Source organism: Homo sapiens, chromosome X, assembly GCF_000001405.40.
Source record: "Homo sapiens chromosome X, GRCh38.p14 Primary Assembly".
Taxonomy (NCBI): Eukaryota; Metazoa; Chordata; class Mammalia; order Primates; family Hominidae; genus Homo; species Homo sapiens.
Genome location: NC_000023.11, coordinates 123,441,363 through 123,466,859, shown reverse-complemented (window position 1 = coordinate 123,466,859; position 25,497 = coordinate 123,441,363). Strand labels below are relative to the sequence as shown.

Sequence of the window (25,497 nt, the reverse complement as noted above, 5' to 3'; positions counted from 1 at the left end):
ATTGTCTCTGAAGAAGAAAAGTTTTGGCTTGCCTGTCTGTTGGTCTGTGGTTGGGAAACACTGTTCTTCACCTTAAGATGCCCATGGGATCTTGGTCGTACAAGAGGTGAGTTTACATGCTTCAATATAATTCTCATGCCCCTTGGGCCAAGGAGGATTCTATTTTCAGGTCCTCTCCTGTACTTACCCGAAGTGTGTTTCCATGACTTTGTATCGCGGCTTCTGAGCTTGCCCCTATTTCTTGTTGCTTGGATGATGGCTATTCATTCATTCTAGCTCCAAAGAGCATTAGAAGTCAAAGGAATGCCAAGTAAGATGGGTTTTCTCATGATGGCAGCCTGGATAACAATTAGACCTACCTGAACCAAGAACATGGCTAAGGAGAAGCTAAATCAGGGATTCATACACACATATAGTATCACAGTTAGGCGACGCACTTGCTTAAATACACAAAATGTCTCTGCAAAGTCTCTATATGGGGTGGCCTATTGAAGAAAGACCCCATTTAACTTGAAACCGAGCTTGTTATTTGGCTTTCAAGTTAAGTGGGGCCTGCTTAAATGGGCTATCACATATAGAGAACAACATCTCATCACTCAGACACATAATTGAAGAAGCCACCCTTACTCAACCAACCAACCTCTGTGAGCAACCATCACAACCTAGAAAACAAAAGGCTATGCCCTGATTTTTCAGTAGATGGATCTGATTTTTCATACCACTCAACTGAGGCAGGCGGGGACAGTCTCACAGGAAAGCCTTGGACTCTTGAAAGCCTAGGGCATTGAAACCCACATCATGGCTTTCATAAGGCAACCAAACTGGTGGGTAAAGGAAGGGAAAGGGTGTGGTTGGAGCCTCTGTCTGGGAGTTGAAGAAGGGACCCAAGTTAGATCAAAAATGTGGGCAGTGCCCTAAAGTCTTTTTGGTTCCCAAAGCTGCCAGGCAGGGGAATAACCTGGTCATTCCACTTTATGTGTGAGTCTTGTGCTCTCTCCTCAATAATAAGATAACAGTCTTGCCGATTACTCGTCACTAAGGGTACCCGGTTGTGGTGACATTGAGGCTGACCTTGGAGTCACCGCCCCCGCTGCCGCACTCTCCTTTGTCGTACCACCATTTGTTTTTCAATTTGTCCAAGAGGCCTTGCTCATTCAGTTTTAATACTGCCAGGTTAACAGCATTTCTTGAAACGATAAAACATAACTTGTAAGAAAATGCACAAATGCTTAGGAAATCGTTAACGTATAAAAAGGAGCACAAGAGGACAAATTGGCTAAATTTCACAGAACGTGGAGCTATAAAAATGTCTGTACAGCAAATACAGGGTTAAATATTGGAAGGTGGCATGGAGGATAACATTTGCTCAAAACTGAAGTGTGCGGGATGGGGAAATTGTCTTTGAGAAAAAAAGTAACAAGAACACCACATCCATGCAATTAACATTCGTCACATATGGCACCATAACTTGGCTTTTACCATTTAAATTGAAAAAGCCGTTGAACTGTAAAATTAAAACAGCAACAAACAGTCAGAGAGGACAACACAGAGAGAGAACATTAAAAAAAATGGATGCATTAAATAGATGAAACCATAATTTACCGTCTTATTTAACTCCATGGAATATTGTAGATTTTAAACTTTTAAAAGTTACCTCAAAATCCACAAGAAAGAAAATGACAACAAAATGCATCAGGGTAGGTGGAATACTATAACAACACGGATATTGTTATATTATTCCACCCACCTTAATGCTGAGCCTTTAGGGGTTGCCACACCATAGCCTTTGGAATCCAGATTTCCACCAACTTTCATCGTATCACATGGTTTTCTCTGCTCAATGTACTCATTCATGGTTGACTCCAGCAGGAAGGCGAACTTTCCCTTGGACTTTCGCACTCGGGCCACTCCGTCTGCTGTTGTTTTGGTAAACACAGATGGCTCCGCTGATTTCATGTAAGACCACATTTTCTCGTACACAGCAATTTTGGATCTCTGCACCAAAGAGATAAGAATTCTTAGAGCTGCCAGATATTCAGTCTGGAGGAGGGTTAGTGCAGTAGTTTTTTTTTTTTAATTGCAATCCACAGTAATAAAAAACACGTTACACTGCAACCTAGTAGGCACGTTCATACATACGTAAACATTGTTTCCAAAACAAGTTCTCAAAACCACACTCATCCTTGCTATGTGTGATGCTCTCTGATATTTTCTATTCTATTCTAATTCATTTTAAATAATGTTGCTCAGGACCCACTAAATGGATTTCATGGCCCCACTAATTGGTTGCAATCTTATTTGAAAAACACTTTGTTAGTTCAACCTTCCTCTCAATGAAAAAATCTCCTCTACAATATCCTGCTATGTTTATCTAATCGTAGCAGGATATGCCTAATCAAAGACCATTATAAGGTAGTGTACAGCTATTTTAGTCAGCCCAGTCCAGCATGAGATATCAATTATTGTAAGAAAGTACCTCCTTATTCTGAGATGATCTTTGTTTTTCTATAACTCCCATTCCTTTTTACAATTTCAACTTTTATTTTAGACACAGGGGGTACATTTGCAGATGTGTTACATAGGAATATTGTGTGATGCTAAGGTATGGAGTACGGATCCTGCCACCTAGTTTGTGAATATTGTATTCAATAGGTAGTATTTTAATCCACACCCCCACCCCCGGTACTATCCCCTAGAGCTATGTAAAATAATTCTGTCCCTTTTTACAACGGTTCTTTTTTTTAATGTACAACGGTTCTTTAATTATTGAAAGGCCTTTATTATGTCCCCTTCTCATCTCTTCATCAGGTGAAACTCTGACTGATATTGTTTCCAGAACTCTCACAACTTTGGTTTTCCACTCGTAGGCACATTGTAGTTGGTAATGTCTGTCTCTATTTAGAGTGTATAGAAATAGACACGGTACCCCAAATAAATGACCAGAACAGAATGAAAAAACAACAACAACAAACTTTTGCTTCTTATTTTAGAGCATTCTTTTCTGTTTGGTTTCTCTCTTTCTTTCTTTCTTTCTCTTTCTTTTTCTTTCTCTCTCTTTCTTCTTTCTTTCTCTTTCTTTTTCTTTCTTTCTCTTCTTTCTTTCTCTCTTTTTCTTTCTTTCTCTCTCTTCTTTCTCTTTCTTTCTTTCTTTCTTTCTTTTTCTTTCTTTCTCTCTCTTTCTTTCTTTCTTTCTTTCTTTCTTTCTTTCTTTCTTTCTTTCTTTCTTTCTTTCTTTCTTTCTTTCTTTCCCTCCCTCCCTCCCTCCCTCCCTCCCTCCCTCCCTTCCTTCCTTCCTTCCTTCCTTCCTTCGCTTCTTTCGTCTCACTCTGTCACCCAGACTGGAGTGCAGTGCTGTGATCTTAGTTCACTGCAGCCTTGACCTCCCAGGCTCAAGTGATCCTCCTGCATCAGCCTCCTGAATACCTGGGACTACAAGTGTGCACCACCAAGCCCAGCTAATTTTGTTTATTTTTTTGTAGAGACGAGGTCTCACTATGTTTCCTAGGCTGGTCTCAAACTCCTGGGCTCAAGTGAATCTCCCTCCTCAGCCTCCCAAAGTGTTGGGATTACAGGCGTGAGCACCTGACCTGGAGCATTATTTTCTACCAATGCTGTTTGAATTTGCATTAATATATTTAGTCATTCCTCTATCCTTTCAACAAAATTTTTTTTTATTGAGAAGCACTGGAAGAATATAATAGAGTCAATAGAGTCTTTCCATCAACTCAGGTTGAGGTCAAACCAAAACTTAGTTCTTTCTGCCAAGTCAAGTCTCCTTCATCTTTACCTTTTTGAATTTTGCATATAATCCCATTAAATTTCATTTCAATTCAGGTGGTCCCTAGAACATATATTAAATGCTTACTGTGCCTCTAGCCCTATGTTAGTCATTCTGGAGACTATAAAAGAATTGTAGACTCAATGACTCAAAAACTTCCAATTGACTTGGGAGCTAGGTCCTTAGGAATGAAAATCCTAGAAAAAAATTCTAAGGTGATACTTGACCAGAGGTTGAGATAGCATGGCAGAAACCATAAACATATACCATGTTTTCAAATGTCTTTTTGTGGGGTTTCCTGGCCCCCACCCCAACTTTCTTGATTATTTATTTAGTTGCTCTTCTCTAGACTTTGGCCGGCTGTGTTGCATCTTTCTTGGGGCCTGCTTGGACCTGCCCAAATAATTCCAGGGGGGGCTGGAACTTCCAGAACTATCACCATGGACTCAAATTGCTGGCCTCAAGCAATCCTCCCACCTTCACCTGGCAAAGTGCTGGGATTACCGGCCTGAGCCACCTCGCCCAGCTGGATCACCAGGGACATTAAGCATTGTGTTTATGGCAATCAGACCCTCATGGAAGCCCTCACAGAGTCAGTGAAACTCTTCACTGAGATGGGAACACATTTGGTTTGCACAAATTATAGCAAAGGAAGCCACTGTGGCTGAAATTAAATGAGAAAAAGGGAGAGTCGTAGGAAATGAGCTTAGGTGGATAATCAGAGGCCAGATCTTGTAGGGCCCTGTAGGTCATGGTAAAAAGTTTGGATTTATTCTACCTGTTATAGGAGACTATTGGAAGATTTTGAGGAGGGGTGTGATAAGATCTTACTTAAATTTTTAAAGATTACTCTCACTGCCATATGGAGAATAGACTATGAGTTGGGTCAGAGTGGAAGAAAGGGAAATTAGTTAGGAGGCTATTCTGATATTCCAGAGGGGAGATGACTGTGGCTTGGACTAGGGTGGGAGCAATGGAGGTAGAAAGAAAAGGCTGGATTCCAGATGTGTTTTGGGAAGATAGCAAACAAGCCCTGATGATGGACATCTCCACCTGATGGTCCTGTAGACATTTTCAGATTAAACTTTTCCCAACTAAATCTATATTATATACCTTGTAAAGCCTGGGTTTCCTTCTACATTCTATCAGTAAACCACCTAACCTCCAAGCTAAAGGGTTTGGTTTTACTTTTCCCTCACTCCCTCATTCTGCCATGTTTTTTCTAATATAGTAATGACTTTAAAATCTGTCCTCTCATCTTCTTTTCATTCTCATTACCATTGCCCTCCCTTGGTCAGGCTCCATCGTTGTTTTGTCTAGACTATCTTGCTTCCTAACTAGTCTCCCTGCTTCATCTCTCTCTTCAATTTATCCTCTAGTGATTCTTCCAAAATGCAAACTTAATCAAGTTACTTCATTCTTTAAAATCCTCGGCTAGTTCCCTAATACCTACAGGAAAAAAAAATCCAAACTCTTATGTATGATATTCAAGAGTGCTTATGATCTTGGTTACACTCTCCTGTGATTAGGTCATGCTGGGCTATTCACTGGTCACTGAAATAAGCCACTTCCATGTCTTATGCCTTTGGTTATGCTTTTGCTTCTGCTTAAATTACCTTATTCATCTACAAGATCCAGAGCAGATGTCATGTCTTCTGTGAAGTCTTTCCTAACCCTTTCCTGCCCCCACGAAGTGCTTCTTTGGGTGTCCTCCCAAAGCCATTTGCTCATACCTTTGCTATAGAGCTTAATTGCAGTAGGGTGAGTTGACTATGTGTCTGTCTTCCCCTGTTACTTGAGTGTTTCTTGAGGACAAAGTCCATACCTTATTAATTTTGCTAGCCCTCTTGGCAGCCAGCAAATTACTCTATACATGACAGACTAAAGATAAGTTTTCTTAATAACTGAAGCTTAGGCTTGACCATGGTGACGACCAGATTGCTGGTCAAAGATATCAGAAGTTCAGGTAAAAATGGCTACCAGCACTATCTTTATAGCACTGTAGAATTCTAGAGCTGAAATTTTTCTAAAAATCACTGAGTACCTTGCTAAACCAATTTGGATATATGCTTTTCAATCCTCTTTTTAAATGCTACTTAGTCTGCCTTTGATGCCCACATCAATAACTTCCCCCCAAATAATCCCTAACAATCAAGGCCTTCTAAGATTAAAATCTCACCCATAGTCATTTATGCTCATTCCATATTACATTATCCTCTTTTGACACATAAGACAATTTTTAAGCATTGTAATGAAATACATTGTCAAGGACTTTATTTCAGTAGACATTTCCTAGTTAGTTACCCAAGGAATTAAAAAATAATCAATAATTCGATACACAGAAAGATATAAAAATAATGTAAAAACACCTGTGTACCTGCCATAAAGCTTAACAAATTAAACATTATGAAGTTAGTTAAAGTCTGCTTATCTACCCCTCCCTAAATACATATTCTTCTCTACTCGCCAAAAGTAACCACGATACTGAATTTAGCCTTTACTATTCCCTTGCACCTTTTTATACTTTTACTAGAATAAGCATATTTCCTTTATAATGGCTGCATAGCTCTTCAATCTACGAACACACTATGTTTTATTTACCCAACCCCTTTTGAAGGGCTCTTAGATAATTTCCATTATTTTTGGCATTATAGAAAACCCTGTAGTGGGTATGCATTTTTGTGCATTTATAAAGAGCTGTTTTGTGTTTTTCATCTTGGCCCAACCAGACCTGAATACAAAGTGGGGGTCCAGGAAGGGGAGACTTCAGACATATTTGTCTTTTACACTATTTGCAAACAGGCCATTGCTTCCAAAGATAAATTTATAAGCCAAGGGCAAAGGGGTCCATGAATTCTGATCCAAGTGCACTATAATTTGGACTCATTTACTTCATCATTTACTTGAGCTCTTTGATTGCTGATACAGGTTAAAAGGTTTATTCCTTTAGGTAATGATGCATTTCTAGGAGAATAAATAGCAGTGCTTGAAGCAGGCCCTTTAAATGCACATGGTGTACATGTGGCAGATATTAATGAATGCATTAAATGACAAGTCAGTTAGTGGCAGAAATGATTGGACTCTTTTTGATGACTGAATTCTCAAAAAGATTAGAAGGGGGAAAAGAAATGACTCATAAGTAGGAGAAATTAAGCTGAAACGTTTATCTTTCCAACTAGTATTTAAGTGTCAGTATAACATTCAGACCATAAAGAAGAAAGAAAACTAGCATTTCCTCTTTTTTTCTTTCCTTTTTTTTTTTGCATTCTGTCTTATTTTGGATGAAATAAAGAAGGCAATAAAAGGGACTGAATCTTAGCTCTGTCATCTGGGAGAAGTTAAACAATTTATGGGCAGGATGTGTAATAACAAGTTCATTTTTCTCCAACCCACCACCATTCATTTCATTCATCCCACAGAGCACCATTTTGTACCTAAAAAGGAACAAACAATGGTTATAAAGAAAGGCCATAAGAAATTCTCAAGCACTGCTAGATAATTAGCAACCAAAATCCAAAGGAGAAATACATAAATGGAGAAGGAACAGATTAATCCCAAATAGCAGATATGGTAGAGCCTTAGCATTAATGGATTCAACAGTTGTAGCTCTAACTATTCGTAATACATCATGAAGGTCAAATATATGAAGAAATCTGTCTTTTTGTTGATGTGAAGATTTGAATCTTGGGCCCTGTGAGTCTGGTACACAGAAGCCTACCACTTAGACCTTGTGTCTCTTTGCAACGGTGTTGTTCACTCCTAGTCATTGTGCATATAGTAGCTCTCTAGTGATAAAACTATTCTTTATGTAAGTTCAAAGTAACTATATAGTGCAGTGCTTAAGAACATGTAGTCAGACTGCTTGGGTTTGAATCACACTTGCTAAGTACATAAATTATCTAGCATCTATGTGTCTCAATTTCCTCACCCATAAAATGGGATGATTTTTTAAGTGTATACTTCAAAGGTTTATTGGGAGAAATTAAATGGGTTAATACATACTTAGAAGAATCCCTGAAACACAGGAAGTGGGAAAAACATTATATATCTTTATAATAAAGAAAGTATAATTTGTTTTACTGACAGAATTTATTTTAATGGTATTATAAATTACTTCAGTGCCATATTTACGGAATCATTACTTCATTTTATGGGAGAAATCACATGCTTAAGTATTATTTGTATATTTGGATCTCCAGACATATGCCTGGTGAATGACCAGGGTCTGCCATCAACAAAAATTACTATCATTTGAAATTGGATTTTAAAAATTTTGTTGGTGTAGGAGAATGGGCAGGATGGCAACTTTTCCTTTTACATTTATGTTTTGCAGTTAAGTTGAGGCTTATACATTAAAATCCTCATTAACCAGAACACTGCTACTGGGGAAACTTGGTGAATAAAATTTTCTGCTTTCCTGTGAGATAAAATAGGATATCCACTTGGTCAATAGTATATCCACTTGGAGTCAGTAGAATAACAGAATTTTAGAGCTAGAAGGCGCCTTAAAAACCATTTTGTTGAGCCTCTCACCCGGTGAAGTGATAGCTTCTTGCTTAAATGCTTCTGGTGAAGAGGCACTCCCTAGCTCAGAGGAGGCATAGGAAGTAGCTTATTCCATGGTGGGACAATTCAAGTTGATAGAAAGTTCCTTTGGTTTGGCTGATATTCTTAATGAAAGCCTCTCCTCTCCAATCCTACTTCTGTCTCCTGCTTGAATTGGGCAGTACGTCCTCTCTGTTTCCATTTCTCCATTGTAGGGAGTACTGATTATTTTGCTTTGCAATGGTTATCCCCAGCCAAATCTGAGCCCCTTGAGAGTAGGGATCATGTCTTTTTTTGTCACCGCACCACGGGTGTGTAGCATGATGCCTGGCACACAGTAAACTCTCACTATGTGTCGGTGGAATGAGTGAATATTAAAATTGAAGTGTCACCTACTGGTCCTAATTTTTCTCTTTGTAGCAATAGAGAATCAGTATGCTCTCTTCCCGACACGATGTACAGCCTGGAATCTACTGCCACAGTGTCACTTGTTAATTGCCTTGTTTGCAGGCTAAACATTTTAAGGGCCTTCATTTGTTACTTTTATGACACAAATTCCATTCAACTCACCTTTTCTGGTCACAATCTTCTAGATACCTTTTCATTTTTTTAAAGTCCCTCCTAAAATGTGGCCTCCCAAATTGAGCACAATATGCTTGATATAGTGACATTAACATAAAGGACAATGGAACCATCTCTTCTCGTGGTCTTGACATGAGCACAATTCCTCAGTTTGACAGGGTTCAACATCCACTTTCCCATATGTTGATAGTGCAGAATTAACTGAATTACCAAAATGGACTAATAAATTGGAAGCATGTTTATCAACAGAAGCATAATATGCTATTCATTTATGCTATTAATTTACTGTCAGAATGCAGACAAAGTATTACATAATTTGTAAAGACAGTATTGGTGTTTGTAACATCTCTATTCCCCAACATGTAATGAAGGAGAGGTCGGGGAAGATACTTTTAGGCACTTTGTATTCCAGTGTTCCTCAAAGGAAAATGGGCCAGCTTTATGCATGTAATTATTTTTTTGAACACTGTTGCCACCATGCCTATGTTGTCCATTTCCATCATTGTATGTACAGGACTAGCCTTGTACATACATGTCAAAGGGGCTAGATTTGACTTTGGGGTGCTCATCTTCTACCACTTTCTCCCTGTTTCACTGTCTGCCTCCCTCAGAGATATAACTTGTACCCCTTTTCTGGTATCAGCAGTCATGGTCCTCATAGAGGTGTTCACTAACAGTATAATGGCTTCTGTTACCCCTGAGCAAGGGGTCATTTTGATTTGAATAGGGGATTCATACCCCAAAAAGGAGAGTGGGCTTCTTGGCATTATAAAAGGTGCCTTTCAAGGGCTGGAGAAGGCTGCCTTGTGTATGAGACACTAAGAAAGGGAAATATGGCAAGAGTTTCAAACAAAAATGACTTTTCCTCACTCATTTTGCTGTCTCTAAGTTTATTGTGGACTACTTCTTGCTTGACAATTTGGTCCATTTTTTCTTTAGATTGTATCTTTAAGATAATATAATTATAAACTACAATCTGCTTTTTCTTCTGAATTATTTAGCGTCCTCTGTAATTTCTGCTTTTATTAAAGGCTCAGGTGTCTAGGTGGTAAAAATTCAAAAGGGTGGCTTTGGGCCTCCATCTGCCTGAACGGAACACTTACAGGACCCCTGTGTGCCTTGTGTGCCTTCTCTAACATTCAGGAGCAAATGTTGCCTCACAGAATTGACCAATACTAGGATATGCATAGGTGATCCTTACAAGGCAAGGTGCTAGAAGGAAAGAAGGCCAATGATGCCACAGCTCTGGAGAGCTCCTGACCTCCCCCTCTTTTCCTCCTTTCTTCTTTGCCTCTTCTAATGTTTGATGGGATTGGAAGAGGACAATGTGCTTGCATGTCCTACTAGGGTGGGTGGGGTAGGACTATAAGGGAGGGGTAAGGTGTGGCTGGGGTGGGCCCATTCTGAAGTTCTTTAATGTAGTCACAAGTCTCAGGTCTACAGAAATTAAGTTCTTTAAGTTAAGACTCCAACTGTGGAAATCTCAAGCACTTGGTTTAGACTCATGAAGAGGAGATTTTTGTGGTGAGAATTACCTGCCATACAACTTTTCAAATACTCCCTTATTCAGAGAGGCCTTAGATTTGTCATGACTAGAAGCAGGAGATAGCTGAATATCTTTAAACTTTATATTTCCATAAAGCTTTCTGGGTGCCAGGGTGATTTAACACACACCATCTCATTTAAACCCCACAGCAGCCCTGTGAGGTGGGTGCAGTAGCTATTGTTTTTTCACTGCTTACTCCCCAGCACTGAGAACAGTGTGTGTGCCCAGTAGTGCCCCATAAATATATATTGAATGAAAGAATGAATTCCCATTTTATAAAAGATGGAACTGAGGGTAAGGGAGGGTAAGTGCAGTGGCAATGCCAAGAGGTGCCATAGTGGGCTTTAGCCTACTCACTCATTTCCATGAATCTACCCCCTCAGTATAAATCAAGCCTGAAAAAAGCTGTGTGCTTGCTAAGCAGTTTCCAAATAAGGCCTAACCAGAACTCCACCTTGAAGAGTCTCCAATACAGAAATTCAAAGATTTGCCATTGACTCAACTACTTATCTTAGGTCACACAGCTAATGAGGAACAAGGCTGGGACACTATCCAAGTCAACTAGAAAGGTTTCAGATAGATCTTTCCCCGTGATAACCCCAGCCTCTTTTGCTTGCTTTAGCACTGACAATATCCTTTTTGATGAAAGAGGGCAACTCACCTCCAAAAACATTTTTTGCTTCTTGTCCAAGCTTTTTTTGAAGTTGGGGTAAATTGTAAATTAACTCCAAATCCCCTCTCACTAAGGCACTGGAATTAGTGAACATTCTTGTCACTCATTGTAACCCTGCTATAGGCCCTTAGTGTCCATACTTCACCATGTAAAGTGATCAGAGCAATTTGAGGCAAAAGAAGAAAAATACATCTGGGTTGCCAAATGCATCGGACACATTTTTTTCTTCCACTTATGTTTTGAAGAAGTCAATAGCTCTAATAAGGTGCATTTGGAAAAAGGAATCATTGATTTTTACAGTTTTCCCCCTAAAGTAAAGGAAATAGTTTCCATTTTGATTTGGAGCAAGGCACACAACAAATGATATCATTTCTAAGCATGGCCAAAACCCCAATTTCACTTTCTTCCTTCACTTAGGTTTGCACATTTTTAACATTCAGAGAAGTACTGCTTGTCTGTGTCCTTTTGCTTCAGACAATCAGCAGCTGTCATGAGACTGTGTATTGGTGAACACAGGGGAAAGGAAGGGAAAGAAATTCTGGTTTCTATTCTTAGTTTTTCTACTTGTGTGTTATGAGCCTGACTGAGTTATTTTGAGGGCTGGGCTTTTAGATAACTTCATTGGAGTTGGAGGTCACCTTTCGCCTAGACATTAAGTTTTGCCCTCAAATGTAAATGACTTTGCTTAACAGTTTCAAACTGTGTTCACAAGTCCAGGGACATGTTTCCTTCCACTTCAAGAAGGGCTATTTCTGATGTCTCCTTTCCAAAGGTGCAGGTGACAATCAGCTAAGTTTCCTGAGACCTTTCTAGTGTCCCTCTCTGGTATGCAAAGTCAGATTACTGTTCTGATTAATCTTCTGCTTCTCTTGCTGAGTCAGACTAAGCATATTCCAATGGGTTGAAAATAGTGCCAGTGGCCATGTGACTTTGAAAGCTAGAGTCAACACATTCTTTCAGAAAATGTTTCTAAGGTACCATTGCTCTATTCTGGGAGAATGGAGGAAGGGAAACAGTACCCTCTACCCCTGTGTCTCTCAGTAAGCAACAACTTTGCCTCTCAGGAGACGTTTGGCAACAACTTTTCATTGTCACAACTTGGGGAGAGGAGTGCTACTGGTATCTAGTGGGTAGAAGCCAGCGGAGCTGTTAAATGTCTTACAATGCACAGGACAGCCCCCACCACCAGTAATTATCCGGCCCCAAATGTCAACGGTGCTAAGGTTGAGAAACTCTGCTATATGGACTTTGATTAAGCCATCTTTAAGTAAGAAAACCCATCATAACTAACATTTAATTGAATACATACTTTTTGTTCCAGGTCCATTTCAAGGGTTTTACATGTGTTAACTCATGTAATTCTCACAACAACTCTATGAAATAGATTATACTATTATATATTACCCCATTTAAACATGCAGAAACAGAGGCACAGAGGAGTTAAGTAGTTTGCTTAATGCCACACAGCTGGTATGTGGTGGATCTGGGAACTCATTCAGGCTCCAGAGTCTGCTCTCAAACAGTACACTATTCCTAGATAGGTTAAGCCATGTGGTAGGGTTGGGATGACTTCACAGAAATTCTGCTTTCTGATTGAAATGATGCTTATACTTTAGCATCATTTCAAGGGGCATGATATTTCTATTATTCCCTCCCTGAAATGTAGGATTGGAGACTAAAGTGTCTTACCCTTAGTCCACATGAAAACCCTACCTTTTAAACCAGAAGTTGACAAATTATTTTTTTCTCCTTATTTTGAGAATGAAAATATATAAGGAGTATAACGTTATGTATTGAACTTATATGGCTGTTATAAGCCAAGACTGTGAGTCAACTTTTATTTTCACAGATGCTCCTCATTTTCCACTCCCCTGCGTGGGTAGTACCACCTCTCTTTCATTTGCCTTATCAGGTAAAAGATGCCCTCCCCACCCCATCCTGTGCTCAGAAAAGAATTGGAAACATTCACACTGAGGTAGAAATGATGAACAATATACAAAAGTGTGATCTCCTCATAGGATCAAACCACAGCTAAAGGAATGATAGCCTAATGGTGGACACATTAATTGGGTATGGAGGAGAAGTTTGTGTGTGTGTGTGTGTGTGTGTGTGTGTGTTGAAAACCTGACTTTGCTATGTACCTTCACCTTTAGATTGCAGAACCTATTTTCTTTTTTTATTATTTTTTATTTTTTATTATACTTTCAGTTCTAGGGTACATGTGCACAACGTGCAGGTTTGTTACATATGTATACATGTGCCATGTTGGTGTGCTGCACCCATTAACTCATCATTTACATTAGGTATATCTCCTAATGCTATCCCTCCCCTCTCCCCCCACCCCACGACAGGCCCCGGTGTGTGATGTTCCCCTTCCTGTGTCCAAGTGTTCTCTTTGTTCAATTCCCATCTATGAGTGAGAACATGTGGTGTTTGGTTTTCTGTCCTTTTGATAGTTTGCTCAGAATGATGGTTTCCAGCTTCAACCATGTCCCTACAAAGGACATGAACTCATCCTTTTTTATGGCTGCGTAGTATTCCATGGTGTATATGTGCCACATTTTCTTAATCCAGTCTATCATTGATGGACATTTGGGTTGGTTCCAAGTCTTTGCTATTGTGAATAGTGTCGCAATAAACATACATGTGCATGTGTCTTTATAGCAGCATGATTTATAATCCTTTGGGTATATACCCAGTAATGGGATGGCTGGCTCAAATGGTATTTCTAGTTCTAGATCCTTGAGGAATCGCCACACTGACTTCTTCCACAATGGTTGAACTAGTTACAGTCCCACCAACAGTGTAAAAGTTGCAGAACCTATTTTCAAGACAGAGAATGGGTCACAAAGAAAGTGTGTCTGCCACACCCTTTCACTACTAACTAGAGCAAAGCCTCAAATTCCCTGACTCTCAATCAAGGATTGCTTCTAGGACTGCTATCACTATTGAACACTCCAAGGTCACTTCCCTCAGCCTTCTAGAGTTCTATTTTTCAATGAAACGGCATCTCCAGCAATCCAAAGCCAATTACCATTGACCAATTGGATTAAATGTATTTTTATTTTCTATTACTAAGATATTCAAAAGAGAAGTTCAATACTATTGTTATTCTTGAATCAATTAATTGTAGTGTGGAGGCCAAACCTGACAATACAGGTCCTAGGAAATGAGCGGGAAAATGTTCTTCTATTAAGAAGAAAAATCTATCCTGAAATTGCAATGTTTTGTTTCCACTGTGGCTGTTACTTCCAGGTCCCTGGAGAATTATTTTCTTACTAAGGGGAGAAAAAAGCAATGAAGAAAAGAAGAAGCAATTTGCTTGGGGTTATCCAAAAGAGCCCAAATTTTCCATTTAGAGTTTTTTTTTTTTGGGGGGGGAGTGTTAGTTTCCTAAAAGGTGAGCTGGAACTAATCTGAAGAGAAGTTCTGTTAAAGCCAGCTTGTCAGCAGGAAATACTATGTACCTGGGAAGCTACTGATGACTGCTTCTGTGATTCTGGTTTAATTGGCCTGAGGCGGGGCCAACATTGTAAATAATGCTTCCTAAGTGATTCTAATATTCAACGATGTGTTTAGAATAATCAACAATGGTCCTACAGCTGCAACAACTAGCTACCAATTAGTGCATAAATACTGACAATGAGAGGGCTACCATTTATTAAGCACTTACATGCAACAGGAATGGTGCTTCGTGCATTATATACATGATTGCTAATTCTTAAAACAACCTTGTGAAACCAATATTATCTCCATTTTACTGAGAAGTTAACTAATACTTATAGAAGTTATTTTACTTCTCCAAGGTGATACAGCTGGTTAAATTTTTAGCTCTGACCTCACTAAAGTTTAGATTCATTTATCCATCTACCTAACTGATATCTCCACTTAGATATCTCATAGGTATCTCCAACTTAGCATGGCCAAAATGGATCTCTTGATTCTCCCCCACCCCTGCTTGCTACTCCTCTAGGGTTCTCCATCAGAGAAAATGGCAGCACCTTCCAATTTGTCCAGTTGCTCAGGTCAAAATCCTTTTAGTCATCCTTGACTCCTCTCTTTGGCCTCACATTCCACACCTTGTCAGCTCAATCTATATTCAAAATGCAACCACTTCTCCCTACCCTCCTCCTAATTCAAGCTAATCATTGTTCACCTGAAATATTGCAATTGCTTCTTTTTTAAATTGAATTAATTTTTTTTTTTTTTTTTTTTTTTTTTTTTTTTTTTAGAGACAGAGTCTCTCTCTGTTGTCCAGGCTGGCGTGCACTTGTGTGATCCTAGCTTACTGCAGCTTCGAATTCCTAGGCTCAGGGATCCTCCCACCTCAGCCTCTTGAGTAACTGGTACTACAAGCATGTGCCACCTCATCCAGCTAATTTTTTAAAAATTTCTTTGTAGAGATGGAGATCTCACTATTTTGCTGAGGCTGGTCTTGAACTTCTGGGCTCAAGTGTTCCTCATGCCTTGGCCTCCCAAAGTGCTGGAATTATTGGCATAAGCCACCATGCCCGGCCTACAATCACTTCTTAAGTGGTCTGTCTCCCTGCTTCTCAACTTTTGCCCTGACATAGCAGTCTGATTGATCCTTTTACACATAGATTAGATCATGTCATTCCTCTGCTCAAAGTCGGCTAAGTGACTTTCTGTCAAACAGAATATAATCCAGAATTTTTACCACGGTTTGTCTTCTTCACTGCTCTCATCTCTTACCACTCTTTCCCTCACTTACTTCACTCTAGCACATGGACCTTCTTCCTCAAACCTACCAAGTGTATTCCCATGTCAGGGCCTTTGCTAACGCTATTCCATCTGGAATGCTTTTCTCTCCACGCAACTCCACCTCATACTTTCATGGCCTGCTCCTTCCTTTCATTCAGGGTGTCTGATCAAATGTCAGAAAGGCCTTCCACAATCAGCCAAGATGAAATAGCACCTCCACACCAACATTTTGTCTCTTCACCAGCTTTTTGTCTTCATTGCACTTAACACCAACAGAAACATATATGTTATTTACAGAATTTGTTTAATTTTGTCTCACCCACTACAGTGATTACAAGGACTTTGGTTTTGAGCCCTTACAACAATGGCTGTCATATAGCATGTACTTAATAAATATTAACTGAATGAATAAATGCGTAGCTGAGATTTAAACCCAGCTCATTTGACACCAAAGTCTATATTCTCCTTCTTCTCTCTTCCAGAGTTTAGAGAGGTAAAGTTATAATTCCAAGTTTGCATAGATGCAGGGGGACAGAATTAGTATTCAAATCCAGGTGTGCTGGCTTTCAAAAACCTGTGTTGTTTTTTTCTACTACTCTGCACTGCCTCCCAGTGGAAAGATCGTTAGTAGCTACATTGACCAAAACTAGTGAATTGAGTGAAGTTTACTTCTTTGACCTGTTGTTTTGACATGATTTTATATAACCTTGATCTTCTTTCTTGGTTCAGCTTTGAAACCTGTGCAAGATGCTCCGAGGTAAAAGGCACCAATATGATAACTCACTAGCTTGTCACAGGCCCTAAATGCTACCATTAGAGATCATGCCTTCTGTTTGACTTGGTCAAGTTACTTAAATTTCTCTAAGACTCTAATAATTATCTCTGAAATGGAGATAGACTACTAAATGAGATAATTCATGTAAAGCACCCATAACAGTTCTTGGCAAGTAGTAAGTCTTCAATAAAGTAGATTATGCACTCATGGCAAATGGGAAGGTAACATGACCCCACATCCACTGCCTTTGTGTGGTTTGGTTTATTTGAGAATGTGTGCCAGAAGAATACCAGAGGAAGAAGAATCAAGATAGGTCTTGGGGCAGGCAGGCAATGTGGAGTGCCACCCCGATATGTCAGGGGCACGTGAGGGCCTGGGCACATGTGGGTGACAGGAAGTATGGTATCATATTAAGTGTTTTCAGTCCTACTGTGGCACAGATTAGAATTAAAGTTAACTCAACAGATGCTTGGCAGAGAATACTTTACAGTGCCAAATGGGGCCACTAAAATGTTCACTTTCAATATATTCATATTTCACCTTCTCCTGTGGCTCTCGATTTTGAACAGTTGGGTTTAGATTTAAGTCTTTTCCTCCTTGCTGTGTTAGGAGCGTTCTGGTAAGTATTATTTCTAAAGGTGCTATGCTGATTTAAAAAAGGTGGCTGGCTGCAGTTTTGTCTGGCAAACACACTGACTGTGAAAGCTGCAGGAAAATTGATTTTCTGGCATTTGCGTGTCCTGGCATAAACTGCACGCCATGGAAGCTCAAGTTACAGAAGCTTCTGATAAGTGCAGCAAGTGAGGTTGACTTCATGAAATGATTAGGTTCCACTAATCTTTACCATTGGGGTCAAGGCAATGGTCTCCATATGCAAAATGGCAGATAAAACTACTAATTTGCTGCTATTTCATTAGAGAAGTAGTCAGATAGCCACTTAATCTGATAGCCATATGCAAACACAAATCAGCACACTTATTTAAGTCCCCAATCTTCATGCTCAGGCCCTGATCTCAAATTGTCTTTATTCTGCCTTGGCCAGCATGAGTGCTGTGGAGAAGCCACCTAGTCACCAATGCTCTGGAAGGGGCCTGTCTGTCCCATGTTGAAATTTGTAGTTATGTGCAGTTTTCTTTTGGTGTACACAGCAGTTGTTAAGAGTATAGATCCTGAAGTTATAAAGACCTGGTTTAGGTACTTATTAACTGTGTGACTTTGGGCAAATAATTCAACCTCACTGAGACTCAGTTTCCTCCTCTGAAAAATGGGGATGGTAATAGGACCCACCTTATAGTGTTCTTGAGGTAATGAAATGAGAGATTGCTTATAATGAATTTGACATAGCTCACGACAACATAGTAAGCACTTAGTTTCTCCCCAATTCCATAGTTGTATCAGGAATTGTGGTACCTGCTGTAAGGAATGGAGATGTGGAAAACATGTTCCTTATGCTCAAGAAGCTAAAAGAACTAATAGTTGGAAGCAACATCTCATAGAACTTTCTGAAATGTTCTATATCTCTGCTCTCCAATATGGTAGCTTCTAGCCACACATGTCTATTGAGCACTTGAAATGTGGCTAGTGCTACCGAAATACTGAATTTTAAATTTACTTTTAATTTTAGTTATTTTCAATTTAAATAGTTACACGTGGCTAGTGGGTACCATATTGGACAGTATAGGTCTACAGCTTAAGGAAAAGCAGAGAGGAACTAAAAGGCAGAAAACAGCACCAAGAACCACTTTCCCTATTTTATAATATTTTTCTAGTTTACTCTGATTATGGAGGTGATGACTACATCAAATGGACATCCTGCCTGCACCATTTGGAGGGCTGGCTATCATCTGGGTTGAGAGACAGGGGGGTAGGTTGGGGAATTAACTTCTGCTCTATTCAGAGCTAGTATGTAGCTCTGGAATAGCTCCCCCAGCCTGTGCTCATGGAAGCCTCTCTAGAGAAAGGTAAGCTGTGTTATTTGTATGGGCAAGAATTCCTTAGGCACGTGCAGAAACTGTTTCCTTTACATTTATCCTAATTGTGTAAAATTGAAAATAAATGAACTCCTGAGTCTAGGTATTCCATGGAAGAATATTCTTGCTGTTCTTATTTAAGAACCATACTTTATTTCAAAAAGAGCAGATAGAAGAAAATATTTGTGGAAAAAACAAAAGGTGCACTCCTTAAGTTTCTACGTAGCCTGATTATCTTTTTCTGGCTCTGTGAGTTGCTACATTAAGTTGTTTAGACCTACTCTCTCTGACTCTTATTTCCAAGGGAAGAATTCCAAAAGGAGTGAGCAGCCAGGTGACAACACTCACAATTCCCCAAGGTTTTTAAAAAATAGTTATCTGTATCAGCTCTGAGAGATGGGTTGAATAATTGAGTACAATCAAGATTAAAACAACAGTAAATTTGCCTGATCTGAGTCACCAAAGGGGGCATGGAACCAACGCTTTTTAATTGGGCAGATTGAATGTTACAGCCATTTGGCTTGGTTGCTGTCATACAGTAACCAGGGACTTGAGCCAAGCTATACCAAAAGCCCCAAACAGAAATAAATGCTGCCAAATTGCAGATTTGCAAGTCAAACTCCATTAGAAAACAAAAAATAAGAAACAGACTCATGAGCTGAAGCAAAGTTTTTTTTCTTTTTCAAGAATCAAGTAGAAAACTAGGTTGTTTTATATTCAGACCTATGTTTTTATTACCACCGTCGAACAGAAACAAAACCAAAGTCTGAAAACCCTCCAAAGTAAACAAATCACACCATTATTTGGTTTGACTTGAGTTTCTGATACAGCTATCACCTTTATTCAGTGAAGATAAATAGTCAAACTGCAGAAGGAAGCCATGTTGAATCGTAAAGAACTTAGAAGAGAGAAACTGAAAGCCCAGGTTGCATTTCCAAATCTCATGTATTATTTTTTGTTTGTTGTGTTTTTTTTTGTTTTGTTTTGTTTTTGAGACAGCTGGAATTACAGGTGTGCACCACCATGCCCGGCTAATTTTTGTATTTGTAGTAGAGATGGGATTTCACCATGTTGGCCAGGCTGGTCTCAAACTCCTAACCTCAAGTGATCTGCCAGCCTTGGCCTCCCAAAATGCTGGGATTACAGGCATGAGCCACTGCATCCGGCCCAAATCTCATGCATTTTCTAATACCTGTGAAACCTATGGCCTGTGGGATAATTTATTAGCAGACATTGGTTTGAAATACATTTCACATAAGTCCCTGTTTCTGTGCCAGTACGTTATTACCAAAGAAATACAGTAACTTGAAAAACAGGCCCTCTATATCTTGAGCAAGGGCATTATTATTAATATATTTTGTTATTCCAGAAAAGTGGAGTGGGCCATTAATACTTAAAAAAAATTATGTGGTTCTCCTTTAAGACTCACCTGATTGCCTTCTATCCCAGCTCTGATCAATCAATGGCAGACCTTTGACTGCCCACTACTTCCCACCCCTATCCTTACCTGTGTGCCACTAACAGTAGTTAATTCAACGAACTAAGGAATGCTTATTCAGGCCTGTAACCCATTAGGATAATCAGTAGCCAAGAGTTATCTGTTTTTCTCTCCATAATTAAATCACTTATTTCTATTAACCCAAGATTTTTAAAGTCACTTGCAAGATTTAATTTCCATTAGGATGACTTTTCCTTCATACTACCACATGTAAAGACAACAGAATATTTGATTAAGAGCCTTCCTAAACAGTCATCTCTCTTTGAGGCTTACTTTCTCTACCTTCAGCCTCAAAACTGCTTGTCAGTGTTGTGGAGAAAGTGGATTTCCTGCCTGTTTCTCCACCTGAAGGCAATCTGCATTTCCACTGATTTCTATCCAGGTCACTCATTATCTACTCGCTGAAAAGCATGTTATTAGTGAGAAGCAGGTAGGAGTCATGCTGACCTCCCCAGGTTTAAATGAATGTTTAAGATGGTACAATCAAACAGATATGCAAAATAGGTTATTAATGCAATATTAATAACGTTACAAATTTAAACTCAAAATCAAGGAATGCAGAACATTTAGGTTTCTCATTGTTTCTGTTTTAGCAACATGGCACATGCTGAATATTTAGCCCAGCATTAGGAAGACATGGATCCAAAAGTATTGAAAAAATGACCAGTGTGTGTAAAGGAGACTCCGAGATTGACTACCAGACTTCTAGAATGATGTAACCATACCTACATAGATTGGCTCAACATAGGCAAGTAAGTTTTCCAACACTTTTAAATGTTCCTTTCCCTGATTTGTGCTGCTTTGCCTAGAAAATAGTATGTCTTCCGTTATATAACAGGGGAATTCCTAAAAAAAAGCTGTGCCATAAATTAGATTCGTTTTTGAAAATCAAATTTTATTTTTCTATTGATGCATAGGTTGTTTTATGTTTATTTCTGAAAGCCCTCCTCCTAGGTTTCTCTGACAAGTAGTTAATGATCTGTTAGCACCCAAATGCACTAAATGCACTAAGGGATCTCTGTTTTCTAGGGAAGATTATGTTTCCAATGTGAGTAATTACTATTTATTGCTTTCATCAGTTGTGAATTGTCTGATTAATGGATTACTTAAGGCAGGGTCCTGCTGTGTTGTATAGTCAAAGATTTTGGAAGAAAGGGAAAGCCTTAAAGATAACAAATATTTTTAACTAGCTTTTGGTAATCTTTGGTCTGGAAGATAGGCAAGCCTGGAAATTGCCTGGAAGACAAAACAAACAAACAAGCAAACAACAACAACAAAAAACCAGTAAAAAGAGCTTCAAGGTGGGAGATCCTGGTACAATGGATACTGTACTGCATCTCCAAAGTGTCAAGGGGCAAAATAGGTATCCATGGTAATAGCAAGGGTCCTAGTAGAAAAGAGTGAAAAAATATTGAACCCTAGCCTTATAAAAACTGATCTGGTCTTCATAAAAGGCGGAGTATTACTTTCCAGGGAGGGGAAGGGCAGAGTTCTCTTTTCTGCAGAAGCCAGGATCCTTATGTTTGGGAGATGATGGCACTCCAAAGAAAGTTAGAAAGAAGGGATGGCTCCTCTTAAATATCCATCAGATATCCAAATAATTTGTGGTGGAAATACTCTATGTACCTTGTTAACAGGTCCAGCTTAACCACATATGAAGCTGAGCAATGTCCATAATATAGCCTTAATCAGCAAAGCCTGCACTGATTCGAAAATTGATCAACTGTGCCCAACTGCTGATGTAGATAAAGGCTGGGCAATCTGCCCTCTGGGCTGGAAAACATTTCTCTCCTGCTTGAGAATTGGAACTCTCCTATCGCCACCCCGGTGCCTGTATTCAAAAGATACCTTATGCCCACTCCATGGATAGGTGCCTTTGAATATGATCACACTTCTGTTTGCCTAATACCCATAGCAGGTTAAAATGGCAATGGCAATGTAGAATTAACAAAAGGGAGGGAAGAAGAGAGGGAGGGAGAAAGGATTACAGAAATCCTACTTCTTTCTTTTAGGCCTAAGAGCTAGCACTTCAGTCTGGGTACTATCTACCATACCACTCTTTTCTTAAAGATGTGCCCTCACTAACTCTCGCTGGTAAAGATACTAAAGGAGGGTATGCAGCTCATATTCTCCTCACAGATCACCTCCACTTACTCTCAGGAGGCTTCACCCTGCCATTCAGTCACTTGGGGCTGTCCACCCACAAGTCTTCTGTGTGGGGAAGGTTGGACCCCTGGTCTCCTCAGTGCCTTTGTAAATGAATGCAACTGCATTGATTACCCAATGCCCACACCCAGCAGGTCAAATAGGCAAAGAGAAAGGGAGTAAGGAATAAGGAGTTGTGCATTAGGGTTGTGCTTCTGGCTACAGGGCAGGAATTTCCTGGCTCCTGGTTCTTTTCCTTCTGTATCAGTTTTAAAATCTGTTTCTTTTCCTGATAACATTTACATCCTCCTAATTTTGAGCTCTTCTTGGTAACCAGGTTTATGTCTACCCAGCTACAGTCCTCTAGATTGGGAACTTGGAGGCATGAGGCTCTCTGAAGCCTCCAAAATGCAGTCACATAGTAGAGCTGCCTCATCATAAAAGGCAAGTGTAAGGACAAAGAAGGAGGGAGGGGGAGGAGGGATAACATGATAGTAGGAGAGATCTTTGGCTAAAGGTTAAGAGTTCAAAGCTCTTGGTGCAATCTCTCATTCTGTCCCTTTTCATTTTTAAGGACCTTTCTCTTGCCCATAGCTTCCAACCATATTTTAATGAACTTTCCTTTGTGAAGGGTAGCTCTTCTTTTTGTCCATCCTAAAACCTCTGTAAAAACACCAACATAGAAGTCCTCACCACCTGAGACCCTTAGGTCTCAGAAAGGGCCAGTGGGACAGCTTCTTTAGGTTGGCATAAGTTGCCAAGCTCCTGACCAGTCTGCTCCTCTACTCCATTTTCTTCTTTCTTTTTATGAAGTTGCTTATGTCCCTACTTCTTTCCAGGTTCTGTGGCTCTTATTTTCCCATGCTGACTAATATCTATGGCTATTCATCTAAATTCTTTCAGGTAAGAGTGCTTGTGGGGAGTTTCCCTGAAGCCTCTGTACAGACACTAACATAACAGTCCTGAATACCCAAGACCCAGCAGGTAAAGGAAGGAAAGAGAAAAGGAAGTAAGGGTCGGGTAAAGGAAAGTAGGAGAGAGCTTCTCTCCAAAGGGCAGGAGTTTCCAGGCTCCTGATATATATTTGTCATCTGCTCCATATTTTTCTAAGAAGTTCCTTTTACCCACAGCCTTTACCTAGGTCATACTAATTGAAGATCTCCACTGATAACCAGCACTTGGACCTGGCCACCTGCAGTCCTCTAGGATAGGAATCAGGGGGCTCTCTGAAAGATCCATAAAGACATAAATACAACAGTCCTGGTCACTCAAGACTCACCCAGTAAATGGGCAGTGGAAAAGGAAGGGCATTATCTGGATCAGAGGAGAAGAAGATCAAAATTGTAAACCTTTCAAGGCTTTTGGCCATGATTTCTCTCTTTGCAGTTTAATTTTGCTCTTACTTTTAGTTTTCAGGGTGTGTTATTGTTCATAGTCTTCAGCCAGATACCATTACTTGAGCTTCCCTATAGAGATCTTCATTTGGGGCTCCCTAAACCTTTGGCAAAGCATCAATGCGACAGTGCCAATTCGACCTCAGATTCCAGCCCCTGAAACAATTATCTCCCACTGGTCCCTGTTGATTAGAGGAAAGGTTTTTCCTTTTTCTCAATCCCTGACAGGAACACACAGAGCGGGTGGCTTGACCTCAGCCAGTCAGCTGTGATCACTCTCAAGACACCACTTCATGTCAGACAGGCCCCAGCTACTTCTACTCAGGCTTCTCTCTACACCACAGGCCCAACTTCCAGCCTCCCCGCTGCATCCTTTGCATAGGGAAAAAAAAAAAAAAGCAAAGCAGAAAATCGTCAAATATTCATCAAAGAGTGGCTCTTGGTTACCTGTGTTGTAATCATTTAGGATGCTGCTTTAAAAACACAGATTATTGGAAAAACACAGATGCATGGAATTAGCATCTTGAGGTGGGGCATGAGACCCAGTAGTCTATGTTTTAAAATAGTGCCCCAAATGATTTTATATACACAGTGTTGGAAAACACTGGTCGAGTACAGTCATTCATCAGATTACTGAGTCCTCTATTCAACATCTCTGATAAGTGGCCTATTCTTGAGTCCCTTCAATGATGAACACCTCACTATCTATGAATATAGCTCATTTTATCTATGGATTGCTATATTAGAATGTTCTTCTTACATTGATCTAAAATCTCTATCCCTGTAATATCCACTCTTTGATCTTTGTTCTGTCCCTTGGGGCCCCACGGAACAGTCCAGTCGATCTTTAAAATGTCTACCCTTCAAATTTTTGAAGACAATTCTAATATATTCTGCTGCTACATATCTTCTTCAGGCTAAATAGTCTCAATTCTTGCGAACTGAGAAACAACTGTGTTTGTAAACAATCTTGTAAAAAATTATAGGCTAGTCCCTATAGGTCTGCTCTTTGGGCAGTTCCAGATAAGAATGTTTTAAGACAGGACTATGGACTATGGGAAGCCATGGTTGTCTTCTGGATGTCAACTCTAAAAGTGAAAGTGTCCTTCGTGAAAGTGTCCTTCAAGTACCTGTCCCTTAACTTTAACAACTTTCCACGTATCCGTATTGTATGAATTTATCCAAGTCTCCTTGAATTTATTTATATTTTTCCTTGGTTATTGACCATGGTGTTCCCAACCTTCCTGTTTGTACAGTTGGCTGAAATCCCAGGCCAAGAAAATGGAGCAAAAGTGTTTTTAAGAATCTGGCTGGTGGGGCAGTTTATTCTCTCTGACTTTCATATATAATAAACTTCAATAATATGCTAATCATAAGTACTTAATTGTGTGTGTGTGTGTGTGTGTGTGTTCAGAGGAAGGTGGCGAATACAAACATTTGGAAATCAAACTTCAAACTTCTTGGCAAAGGGGCTTTAATTTGACTCTTTTTATGATTATCTTATTCATACTAGCATGTTCAGGAAAGGGGCTGTTTATTTTATTTGAAACAATGTCTAATGTAATGAGGTTGCTTTTAAATATGAAAGATTTGCTATAAAATCCTCTTTCATTTGATATTGTATGCCAAAAGTGTAGATGGATTTTGCTTTTCAACATTGATTCCCGAAGCTCATTTAAAGGAAAGCAAAGTATTCTTTGGAGAGCACATTTTTAATGAACCTCACCTTCACATGCAAAATGTAAGTTTTAAAATTAGAAATAAGACCATGTCCAGAGCACCTTGATCTCTAGGAATGATTCCCAGTTTACCCTTGGCAGTCTATATATTGATTTCTACTATGATACAGTTGTTCCAAAGCAATAATTT

At 39.5% G+C, this 25,497-nt stretch overlaps 1 protein-coding gene across 2 annotated transcripts in view; it reads right to left on the bottom strand.

Moving 5' to 3' along the window:
• Positions 1–25,497, bottom strand: part of GRIA3 (glutamate ionotropic receptor AMPA type subunit 3) — a 306,638-nt gene that overhangs the window by 24,056 nt on the left and 257,085 nt on the right. The window contains exons 13-14 of one of the 2 annotated variants that reach the window (NM_000828.5): positions 1,748–1,995; positions 1,072–1,186 (exon numbers count right to left, since the gene is read on the bottom strand). In NM_000828.5, the coding sequence (NP_000819.4) occupies positions 1,072–1,186; positions 1,748–1,995 (363 nt within the window). The remainder of the gene's footprint in view (positions 1–1,071; positions 1,187–1,747; positions 1,996–25,497) is intronic. The other variant, NM_007325.5, reaches the window with a different exon arrangement.